The 13194-nt window shown below is 39.2% G+C and overlaps 1 protein-coding gene across 12 annotated transcripts in view; it reads right to left on the minus strand.

Moving 5' to 3' along the window:
- HECW2 (HECT, C2 and WW domain containing E3 ubiquitin protein ligase 2) overlaps positions 1–13194 on the minus strand; it is a 399483-nt gene that overhangs the window by 144097 nt on the left and 242192 nt on the right. For all 12 annotated transcript variants that reach the window (NM_001348768.2, XM_006712646.4, XM_047445197.1 and 9 more), the window contains one exon: positions 5489–5596. In NM_001348768.2, the coding sequence (NP_001335697.1) occupies positions 5489–5596 (108 nt within the window). The remainder of the gene's footprint in view (positions 1–5488; positions 5597–13194) is intronic.

A 13194-nucleotide genomic window follows, 5' to 3' on the forward strand; every position in this document is an offset into this window, starting at 1 on the left:
TTGAACAGTGTTTAGGAACTTAAACCTGTTCTCGAGTAAAGGGGTTTCTGTAACTGTGAAATTCTGACACTGCATTTAAAATCAACCATTCTACCACCTGTTTAAAAGAAGAATACATTTCTGGGTTTGTATATGAATAAAATATTTCCAGATAGATAACTTGACACTGGTTGTAGTGGTTGCCTTCAGGGTGGGAAAACTGGCAATTGGACATGAAGCTGGGGAGACGTTTACTTTCAATTTTTATACTTTTTAAACATTATACTCTTTCGTATATTACCTATTCAAAATTATTTTTTAGAAAAGCAATCACAACTCAGCTGTATTAACCCTAGGCATTTATATAAGATTATATTTCAAGCCCTCTCTGCAAAAAGGTTCTACAAGCCACTCCCTGCAAGAAATGGTTTTGCCTCAGACTAGGATCTCATCCATCATCTTAAATAGCTACACGATTCACTCAGGCAGTAGTTAACAGCCTGTTCCTATTTAGAGAGTCTGGATTTTCCCCAAGTTTCTAGAAGTTGAATATTTGAAGCATAAAGATGGATGGAATAAAAATGTCCTTCTTCCTTTAATCATATCTATTTTACTTAAAAGGTAGAATAATCTTAAAGAATCAAGCTAATCGTAATTTATTCTAGAACATGACTTTCACCATTGTCCTATGTGTTTTCATTAAACTATTAATATTATGATTCTTATTCACAGCTTTACTCTTCATGCTTTTGAGGAAATTTACCCACATGCCAGTGACATGCTCACTTGTCAGTTACATGTCACTGGAAGTTGTCTTCTCTTTAACAAGGGCCAGTGGAGCCTGAAATGGCCAGGCTTTCCTCTGCTAAAACTCAGAAAAACAAAAGGGACAATATCCATGCAGATGTGGCAGAAACCTAATAGGACTAGAGAACTAACTGGGCCTAAAATATAAAGTGTGAAGATGGGGGATGAAAAGCATTAAATCTCCATCCAAGGGGCAAAAAGACCTTTCTGATATTGGTGGGAGGGGACTTAGGAATGGTGAAAGTTACAGAAAAGGCTCTGATAGTAAAAATAAGAGACCGAGGCCACCCCATCTACACCAAATAAAAAGGCACCCATGACACATCTATTCTGGCAAGGTACCAACCTGAGCACCACTCAGAGAAAAGACTCTCACTCACAGTTGTCACTTGCATACTGTTTCCTAATCCTATATACATTTCCCAGGGCTGGGATGGGTAAGTATGTGAAATCGCTATGTAATTTATACAAATATCAGTGTTTTGTCATATTCCTCAATGATCACATATCAATTCAGTACATAGCAATGTAGGATGAAGTTTAGTACTCTAAGCTCACTCATTGATACAAGATTTAGTGAGCACCTAGAATAAGACCCAGCACAAAGGTAGCACTCAATGAATATTTCAGGATAGATGAGGAGATAGATGGACAGATGGATGGAAGGAGGGAAGGAAGAACAGAAAGCAAATATGAATAAATGAATGACCACAACCCATAAAAGACTGTATAGAATGAAACAGACATTCTGGCCTGCCAGTACTTTTGAAACCTCTTAAATTTTAAAACTCACAAATGCATACTGCACAAATGACCCATTCAGGTTCTGTGAGCCTGAGCTCTCTTGAATACTTGACTGTCTTATGACAAGTAAGTGTAGATGAAGCTGGCCCTCCTCTTGAATGCCCTGAGGCTCATCTACCCACATTTATACTTGGTTTTGTCCTTCAAATCCATTCAGGTAAGCCCTATAATGAAATAAATTTGGACTACCTGCCTCCTCTGGGGATTTATCCAGACAAACTAAAGCCATCTTAAATTCACAAATAGCCTACGTAGTGCTCAAATCCAGGTTTTCCCTGGAACTTTAATAGATCAATTTTCAGAGATTTTTAAACCTTTGTTTGGACTTCTGGTGAGTTAAAGATAAACAAATTTCCTTTCTGCAGATAAAAACAAACATTTTTAAATACTTTGCATTTTCAGGATTGGAGGTGGAAAATATTTTAGAAACTGTCTAATCTCTTCACAATTTTAAAAAAAAGTTCCATGCAATCAGCTCCAGAGATTCAACCAACATTCCATTGTGAGTCCCTTTAAGAATGCTCTAGCCAGACAATGGGTTTTAAAAATGACATCCAGCCGGGCACGGTGGCTCACGTCTGTAATCTCAGCACTTCGGGAGGCCAAGGTGGGTGGATCACTGGAGGTCAGGAGTTTGAAACCAGCCTGGCCAACATGGTGAAAACCTGTCTATATTAAAAATACAAAAATTAGCCGGGCATGGTGATGCATACCTGTAATCCCAGGTACTTGGAGGCTGAGGCAGGAGAATCGCTTGAACCCAGGAGGTGGAGGTTGCAGTGAGCCAAGAACACGCCACTGCAGTCCAGCCTGGGAGACGCAGCAAGACTCCGTCTCAAAAAAAAAAAAAAAAAAAAAAAAAATGACATCCCAAAGGCATAGACTATTTCTAGGCACTATAAATATAATTACAACTTCTTTTATATTGCAAGGGTAGGGGGTGAGTGTTTTGGTGGGGCAAGGAGTGCTTCATTCTGATTAATGAAGAAAGACTTATTCAAAGGAGAATCTTTCTGAAATTCCTATTCACTGTCCTGAACTTTACTTATACTACATTTCTCAGTCTTTAAAAAATGCATCACTGAATATTTCCAGTTTTACAATTATGCTCCGCAATACTCCCAATTTTATGTGAGAAGAATTAAGGTGGAAATGCTAAAATACGGAGAAAAGAAAAAAAAAAAACCCTTCTCTTTTCTTCATTCCCAACTCCTAGTTTCAATATCAAGCCCATTTCTATTAAATACTAGGGTGAGATGTAGAGAAATCAGTCAAGACAGATCTATTTAACTATAGCCTAATCAGCCAGGACATTATGAATCTCTAACACTTTGGGAGGGAGAAAGAAAATCAATCACAGTAAAGGGGATACTCTGTAAATGGGCTTTTTCTCACATTATATTCCAAACTATAGCAGCATGTGGTACTGACTTCTTCCCATGGGTTCACATGAGCCTTGTAATATCAATCTGTGCACTCCAACAGGCAATAATTACCAGCAGCCTTCAGCATTTTGGAGTGATTTTGCCAAAATCACTCCAAAGGAAGTGATTTTACCTTTTCCCCTGAAGTTCAGTTGGCAATATTTCTCAGCTAGATCAGCCTTTTAAACACCAGGATCCTTTCAAAGGAGGAATCACACTGAAAGTAAAACCAGCTATTTCCCATTCCATTTTCCCACATTCTTTTATCACTTATTTCTTCATTACTTAGATAGTCGTGCCAGCTGGGGCAATGTTGGAAAGTTACATAGACATAAGTCGGAAAAACAAATCATCCATAATTCCACCTGCCAGAAACCATCCTCATTCACATGTTGGCAAGTTTTCTTCCAAACTTTCCTATATGCTGTGCTATTAGCTAGGATTCTGCTGAATGTACCTACTTCCCCTTTCTGACCTTCCTTTCTCTCTGCTTTTTGTGAGCATTTTCCCTTAAAAATGACATTTCTTTTAAGGCCTAAGAGAGAATCCAGTCAGAAAACTGGAATATGAAAAGAAGACATTTCTTATGGGGCAGAAGCAGGATTAGAGAAAGTTCTAGAGTGCTGATTTACTAGTAAGGATGGTAAAAGAAATTATTTCATGCCTTTAATGGCAATTCAAAGTAACAGATGTTAACCTTTTAAGATAACTGTGTATTAGAGAAGTTTGATATGCTTCACAAAGATATGCTTGTGGCAGGTTTCCATTTAATCAAATCTTTAATGTTCACGTTTAGTAAGTGCTATCTTTAAGTACTAGTACCCACACATTCTCTTTTATATTAAATCTTTTGCATATACTAATCTTAAGGCTCACTCAGAGCTCAACAACTCAGAAAAAGTTTAAAAAGCCCATTTTTTTTTCTACATTAAAGAAAAATGGCCAGGCACAGGGGCTCATGTCTGTAATCCCAGCACTTTGGGAGGCTGAGGCGGGCGGATCACCTGAGGTCAGGAGTTCGAGACCAGCCTGACCAACATGGAGAAACCCTGTCTCTACTAAAAATACAAAATTAGCTGGGCGTGGTGGTGCATGACTGTAATCCCAGCTACTCTGGAGGCTGAGGGAGGAGAATTGCTTGAACCCGGGAGGCGGAGGTTGTGATGAGCCGAGATTGCGCCATTGTACTCCAGCCTGGGCAACAAGAGCTAAACTCCGTTTCAAGAAAAAAAAAAAAAAAAGAAAGAAAGAAAAATAAATTCTATAAATGTAGAAGTTAACCTGGACCAACTAGTAAAGCATTTATTCCTTCCTTCTTCTATATATTCCACAAAAATGTACTGAGTATTTACTATTTTTTCAATAATATTGGTGGCAACTATAAATAACACCATCACCCAACAGAAAAAGGGACAAGATATTTTTGTGAACCAGGCACTATATATGAGCATTTGAATTTATAAATGACTATAACACTGAATTAATTAGGTAATAGTTGAGTTATCTGCAGCCAATGTCTGATTTTCTGGTAAGCCGACCTCAATGTCAGTGAGCCCGTCTATTTCATCAACACTTTGAAAAGACTGGGGTCCACACACGAAGTTATTCTGCCGCTGGCAAAAATTATAATGAGATATTTCAAAGGCAAGTCATGTTATTAAATTAAGCGATATCTTGACTTATTCTTTCTGAAATTCATATGAATAAATATTAATTATAGATATAAAGGGTATATAAAAATGTGTAAAGTATTAAAGTAACCATATATAATTTATATACCATACATTATGTATATGTAAAATATAAAATATACTATATATATTTTTGTATATATACATGTATATGTATGTACATGTAATATTTGCATATATATGTAAATGTGTATGTTTGTGTGTGTGTGTGTGTATATACATATACACACATGCACATATTATATAGTTGTCCCTTGATATCCACGGGGGATTCGTTCCAAGACCCCCATGGGATACCAAAATCCACAGATGCTCAAGTTCCTTACATAAAGTGTCAGAGTATATGCATATAACCTGTGTACATCCTCTCGTATACTTTAAATCATCTCTAGATAACTTATAATACCTAACATAAATGCTATGCAAATAATTGTTATACCATATTGTTTAGGGAATAATAAGAAAAAATGTCTGTACTTGTTCAGTAGAGACAAAATGACATTTTTTTTTCCTGAATATTTTTGATCCACAGTTGGTTGAATCTGTAGGTGTGAAATCCACGGATATGGATGGCTAACTGTATATTTAAACACATACAGTTTTTTCAAAATATGTGAACATTCTTTACTGAGCATTTTCTAAAACAATATATTTTCCATCATGGCATAAATATGTAAATCCAAACCAAAGAATTTCAAAATAACATTCAAAAAGACTCCATAGAATTCTGCATACTTATGCAATGTTCAATAATAAGTTTATATTTCACACTTAGTTACTTACGTTCCATGAAATAGGGCCCAGGCTCAATTCTCCATACAATTTGCCCTTTTTGTGTTCCAGTCACACCCCTGTTCTTAGAATCCCAGAAGTTGGCTGGAGAATTCTCATCTAGAAAAACCAAAGAAACACTTTTCAGATTAATTATAACCTTTCTCTCCGTAGCAGGAAGATTAACATAAGTTCTAAAATAAATGGAAAAAAGATAAATGAGAAAATATAATGCACATTATTCTTAATGACTACCTCCCAGCAGAGTATTACCCGAGTTTCTGTGCTTGCATTTATGTGGGAGAAAGAAGGCTGGGGGGAAAGAAGATGGCATCTCTGGGCTTGGCCAAGGTGGTCAATGTTGCCAAAAGACAAAACTGCAAAGAACAAAGGGTACAACTGCTACAACTTTAGCTATGAGCTGATTTATAACAAAGGGGTTGGGTGTGCTCCCATTTGTAAAACGCTTTTATAAAAAGGAAAGGAAGAACAGACCTAGGAGAATATAACAGAATTCAAGATGGGATGAACAAAAGGGACGTTAAGCTACGAAAGTGAGTCAAGATACAGCACAGCTTTGCCAGGAACAGTGTTTAGGGAACACAAACCAAGTTCATCACATCTGTCAGGACAGTCCTTTGCAAAAGACCAAAGGCATAGACCTTGAGACAAGATAAGAAAAAAAAAAAAAAAAAAAAAAGAGTCTCTATAGGCTTTTGTGTTGAAGAAGAATAGAAAGAACAGTGATCCCCCCAAAAGGCCTGAAAGCAGCATTTTCCAAGCTTTCTGACCTCATGGCACAAAGAAAGTGGTAGTATTTGTATGGCAACACTAGATTCAACAGAGGCCATGATTACAATTTAATATGACAGGCAGGGATGCTCTGGCTTCCTCAGACTCTGCCCCCAGCACCCTGAGGACTGGGGATTCATATTCTATAATTTGCTCACATTACACTAGTTTGAAGCTCTGTCTTAGTGGCCCAGAATAGGAAATGAAACTAGAAAACACGAAAAGGAGACAATTTGGAGTTTTATAGGCACATTAAAAAGTATATAGTGATCCTGGCTCTTAATGCCAGATGTACCTCATTTGTTTCCCCAAATCCCTTTCCAAGGAGGAAGGATTAAGGTTGCACTTTAACTGAGAGTTGGAATAAAGAAGACGGGGTGAAGTATGAGCTACACTAAAAATGGAAAGATGGAGAAAAGGTCCCAAGCCCAAAGGAATAGTCCTGAGGAGAAAAACCTTTCTTCTTTTAAGCATGAAAGAAACAGAAAATGGGTCAAAGCAAGGGGACAGAGGGATTTCTGGTTTTTTTTGTGGTTGCCCTACTAGTTTCATCATATTGAAAAGCCAAAGAACTTTGGGAGGGATGGTCCTTTCATGCATTTGCATTGAGCACATTATAAGTCAAAGGTTCTTTACTGTGAAAGGCCAAGAAGCAGCCACTGTTCTTTATAAGAATGGAAAGACATAACCCATTCATGGCATCACATCCTCTCCTAGATAAACAATGCGAGCAAACAACTCCATTTCATACAGAAATATAACCAAGATGCTGATACTTAGATGGTACTCGGGCAATCACTTAAAAATCACTGGATTTGAAAGGTATCACATGGCTCCTCAGGGCAGACCCTGCTTGCTGCATAACCACTGAGCTTCTACCTTGCCAACTGAACCCCAATTTTGTTCAAGGCAACAATGTGCCCTGTTAAAAATACCTCTCCAAAATCCCATCCAGCTAATGGTGACATGTGGCCTGGTTCTGCCCAGTGAAATGTAAGTGGAAGTCTACTAGGTGGAACCCTATGGAAAACTGTAATTTTCCTAATAAGAAAAGGACAAACTCAACATCCTTTTGCTCTTCCCTGTCCCCTCTTTTTGAAGTAAAGCCACATTGCTAAGATGGCAGAGCAAGAAGCAAGACGCAATCAGGATGATCCATTGAGCCCTGACCCACCTGCCTTCAGGCTTCTTGCTACCTAGGAAAAAAAAATCCCATTTGGTTAAGCCACTGTGGTTGTGTTTCTGTTACCTGCAGCTACACACAATTCTTAACAGATATACCCATCCTAAAAACCACTCAGTGATTCAGACTCATCATTTCTGACTTGATCTGGAATCCTCAAGTTTGGATCACTGCTCCAGGTTAGACAACAAGGGTATTTGCTTCACCTTCTGAAAGATACTTTAATTAGCAGAGCTGCTTGGATGCTGGGAGAAGAACTCTCCTATTTTCACAAATAAATTTACTTATTAGCTACTGGTCACTTGGAAGGCACAGAAGGCTGGACTCTAAAAGAAAGAGAACACACACATAGGAGATAGAGGGTGTCCACCTATTCACAAAGCTTTTTAAAAAAGTAGTTATGTACATGGGAAATTTCCTAAAAACGTTGTTGTAACAGATTCCTTCCTCTTGAGGCCTCAGAAAAGATGAGGCAGTATCAAATCTGGTTTTAAGGAGCAAGTACTAGAATCAAGAAGATAAAAAGCAACTGTAAAAAAGTTGTACCTGTTAATGTGACCTCACTGTAAAAGTGTATGCATTATTTGGTATTACTAAACTTTTTCTCCCCAGGCAATCAATTAAGCCAATAAATTAATCCAAACGCATTTCTGACATGACAATTTTGGGAACATGGACCAGTGAGGGTCAAAAATTAGAATGGATGGGTAGGAATGGGATGAGGATGAGGCCTGAACCCTGGACAGAGGAGATCCTGAGGCTCCTTTACATGGTCCCTAGAAGGGAGCTTGGACAGAGAACTGGTGTCAGCATCTCTTATTCTAAGTGGGTCACTAATATCACTTCCTTTGCTAGTTAGGTTCATCTCTAGGTATAAATATTGTACTACTTGCATACCCTTGCTTAGTCTCAGAAGTAGGAAATAAGGGAGAATAAATAACGTGTGCTTTCTTCCCAGACCCTTTACCATGAAACAAGCCTAGAGTTAAGTGTTCAATCCACCCACCAGCTCCTGTAGGTTGGGATAAACTCTATATCTCTGTAACTCTGCCTTAGTTCCCCTGGTTAGTTCATAGGCCATGTAGAAAATTCCATTTCCAGCCGGGCACAGTGGCTCACACCTGTAATCCTAGCACTTTTGGAGGCTGAGGCAGGTGGATCACGAGGTCAGGAATTCGAGACCAGCCTGGCCAACATGGTGAAACCCTGTGTCTACTGAAAATACAGAAAACAAAAAAATTAGCTGGGCGTGGTGACAGGCGCCTGTAATCCCAGCTACTCGGGAGGCTGAGGCAGGTGAATTGCTTGAACCCGAGAGGTGGAGTTTGCAGTGAGCCGAGATCACGCCACCGTACTCTAGCCTGGGCGACAGAGTGAGACTCCGTCTCAAAAAAAAAAAAAAAAATTCCATTTCCGTTTGGTGACTTTTTATTTATTTATTTATTTTTTTTGACATGGAGTCTCATTCTGTCACCCAGGCTGGAGTACAGTGGTGTTATCTAAGCTCACTGCAACCTCTGCCTCCTGGGTTCAAGTGATTCTCCTGCCTCAGCCTCCCGAGTAGCTGGGATTACAGGCGCCTGCCACCACGCCCAGCTAATTTTTTTGATTTTTATATTTTCAGTAGAGACGGGGTTTCACCATGTTGGCCAGGCTGGTCTCGAATTCCTGACCTCGTGATCCACCTGCTTTGGCCTCCCAAAATGCTAGGATTACAGGTGTAAGCCACCACGCCTGGCTAATTTTTGTATTTTTCAAAATACAAAATACAAAATAGAGATGAGGTTTCACCATGTTGGCTAGGCTGGTCTCGAACTCCTGACCTTGGGTGATCAGCCTGCCTCAACCTCTGAAACTGCTGGGATTACAGGCATGAGCCACCACACCTGGCCTGGTGAAATCTGTGACATTTAAAGAAATAAAAGTTAGCCCTTTGAAGCCAAATGGGTAAATTGTACCATGAGTATTCAGGTTCACACAGAACACAAATGTTCCATATACGACAAAAAATGGGTCAGAAGCAGAATGAGCTGACCCTGAGCAGAAGCTGGATGGGCCTGTTTTGATTACAGAAAACAAGTTCAAATGCCATGGCCAGTGACCATCCTTTGGCCTTCATAAGGAAGGAAAGCTGCTGCGTTATTCCTTGCCAACCATGGTGCTTGTCAAGTAAGAGACCCTCAAGTTAATATTCTGGTTATTCTAGATGGAAATTTTTCTTTGATGTGATCATATTCTTGATAATTCATTATCCTTGACAGATACAAATACTTCCGCCACTGAGTGGCAGCAACCCTTAATTGCAAATATGAATCCTGAGAAATAAGTTTAGGGACACAGAGTTCACATTACTGTGAAATGGCTACTACAATCTCTACAACTGCCACTGCTCCTACTGTGGCTAGCAGAGCTATGGCCAGCCTTGGCACATCATGCTAAGAAATGCCTAGAATGACTAATTCCTTTGTTCCAAGAAGATCAATTTTAATTAGTCCTTTAGATTAAATTTTTTGTTCACATCTTTGTTTACGTTGCAGTCAATTTTGGTCTAGCCTGAGAATCATTTTAGAGTGGTAGCATTTTCTCTGCTCAGCTCTATTGTTCATGGATTTTTTTGTATAGGCCAACATATTTTTTTTCCTATATTCAATGAACTATTCTTTTTTATCCTCATTTAGTACCTGTATGAGGTGATTTGGTTTTTTCAAAATGCCCCCAACCCAAAGTAAGAACAATAGTGGGCCCAGGTGCAGTGGGTCATGCCTGTCATCCTAACACTTCAGTAGGACAAGATAGGAGGATTGCTTGAGGCCAGAAGTTTGAGACCAGCCTGGGCAACACAACAAGACCCTGTCTCTACAAAAAAAAAATTTTTTTAATTAGCTGGGCATGGTGGCATGCACCTGTAGCCCTAGTTACTCAGAAGGCTGAGACAGGGGTGTCCCTTGAGCCCAGGAGTTTGAGGCTGCAGTGAGCCACGATTGCACCACTGCACTGTAGCCCAGATGACAGAGCAAGACCCTAACTCAAAAAAAAGAACAATAACTGAATATAAAAAGGTATATCAAAGAAACAATTCTAAATCCCCCACATGTGTAATATAGAAGTAATTATAACTTTATTTCTTCCTTTAACTGAGTAAAGGTTCCGACAAATCATAGAATGCCACTGGTCTTTAAAACCAAGTTATACTTGGCCACTTCCCTTTCTCGTTTCTCTTAACAATTCCAAATCTGTCTCTGTCCTCACATCCCCTACCTAATTTCCACCCTCACTGGAACTCTGTGTGAACTCTGTGTCCCTAAACTCATGCATTCTGTGGCATCCAAGAGGACATTAGGCCTGATCTCCCTTGATTTCTCCATCTCCCTACTACTATCTCCTCTGTATCTGTGCCTACTTCTTGCCTTCTTGCCCAGGGTTCTACTCCCCCTTACAGTGGTGCCTGCGGCACCCTCTTCTCCACCAGTCACTTTCTGTCATCTTAATATTTAACCTTTTTCTCTAGAGGGACCTTCCACTCAACCTAGACACCTGTCAGCTTCCATGAGGCATATTCTCCTGCTTTTGTCTTTGTTCTTTGACTATTACCTTCCTTGCCTTCTTTCCCATCCTCATTCCTATTTCCTCTCGTACTAGGATTAAAGTGTCTGTTTTTTTGTTACAAAACAGTCTATATTACAGGAGTATATATTCTAGATTCTTAGGTTACTTCCTAGTGGAAATATAATTACAAAGAAAGGGACATTGGAGATGTTAATACATATATACCCAAATACCTTCTAAATCTAATTTTGTTTGGTAGGCTTTATATTAAGCTTGTCCCTTTGTGTCTCACGACTTCTTCATTCTCTTACAAGTCTAGTTGGCTACACATTTTCTCTAAATAGAAAAGTGAAACGTGTGTGTGTGTGTGTGTGCGCGCGCACACATGCGTACCTTGGCCTCCCAAAGTACTGGGATTACAGATGTGAGCCACCATGCCTGAACATGATACTTATCCAAAGTGATTTCATTTATTATTATTTTAAATTACAACTTAGAGCTACTCCCATTAATCCTGTTACTAATACTGGAATTAGTTATGTTAATTCTGCTTCTTCAAGGGAGAAACAAAGTGTTTGGACCCAGGAGATAAAAGAGTAGAAATAGAAGATTACAACACACAACCCTCTTCTACTAACTATATAATGACACAGAGAAACTTCTCAGAGCTTGTTAATGAGGTGAGAAATAGGCCCCTTTTCCTTCATTAAAACCACATTATTTTTAGGAGGAACACCTAGGGGTCTTAAACAGAATCTCTATATAAGCAGACTTACCAAAATCTCCTGCACATTCACTGTCACAGATCCTCACGGGTCACCATCTCTTTTAGCTACCTGATCCTCCAGGGCAACGAATGCCCAACTTCATGGCTCACAATGAATGAGGGGGTGGGTGGTGCTTCTTTAAAATGCTACTTCCTGCATGGTGGCTCATGCTTGTAATCCCAGCACTTTGGGAGGCCGAGGCAGGCAGATCACTTGAGGTCAGGAGTTTGAGATCAGCCTGGCTAACATGGTGAAACCTCGACTCTAATAAAAATACAAAAAATTAGCTGGGTGTGGAGGCACACACCTGTAATCCCAGCTATACGGGAGGCTGAGGCAGGAGAACTGCTTGAACCTGGGAGGTGGAGGTTGCAGGGAGCTGAGATTGTGCCACTGCACTCCGGCCTGGGCAACAGGGCGAGACTCCGTCTTAAAAAAATAAACAAATAAAATGCTAATTCTTGTGCTGCTCTTCCAGAGACTTTGAATTTAGTAGGTTTGAGTCTGGGCTCAGGAATCTGAATTTTAGCAAGCACCCCAACCAGATGATTCAGATGCAAGTACCATAAAGACCACATTTTGAAAAATTCTGCTTCATGGTTATTTCCAGGGAAGTTGAGCAATCACAGCAATGCTGTGGACCATGCATATGTCTTTGACCATTGTCCCTCTCATTTGTTACCTTGTTCATTCATTCATTCATTTGACAGGTATTTATTGACTGACTACTATGAAGACCATAAGCATCTATTTCCTGCCATAAGCAGCTGACGGGATAAGGGGGGATATTTCCTGCCATAAGGAGCTGACGGGATAAGGCACATAGATATATAATGCAATGCGAAAATTACTATGGTAAAGGTAACCATGTTTTGTTAAAAGAGGAAAAAAGAGGAGGAATGATTAGTCATCCTGGTGTCTGTGCTTGATTCATATGGTTCTGAGCTGTTAGGTTTAAAGTGTCTTTGGAAGAGTTTACGGAGATCTCCTTTGAGAAGTCTACAAATCTAAGCCAGACATTGTTTCCTCATCCATTCCCTAGACATATGTATTTCTTTACCTTCCACAGTTCACATTTTTGGTTCTATGAATGGTCATCAGAAGCAACATATTTAAAGCTGAATTCAGAGGTCAATGTTACCATTTTTGCTTGGGCCTCAGGAGATTATCCTTTTCTTCCCTGGAAAAGTTGATAATTATATTAACCTACAATGTAATTATAAAGAGTAGTCTTTTAAAAAACTAATTCTTTTTTTTTAAAAAAAATGACACACCAAGCTAAAATAATTTAAACAGAAAAACTTTAAATTTTTTTTCAAGTTCTTTCTTCCCCATAATATTCCACACACAGAGATGGGTGTGAAAACTATTTTTAAAAGATTAATTTTTTTCCTGTACATGATTCTTGGATTTCCAGAAAATTATCCTTT

This window comes from Homo sapiens, chromosome 2 (genome assembly GCF_000001405.40).
Source record: "Homo sapiens chromosome 2, GRCh38.p14 Primary Assembly".
Taxonomy (NCBI): Eukaryota; Metazoa; Chordata; class Mammalia; order Primates; family Hominidae; genus Homo; species Homo sapiens.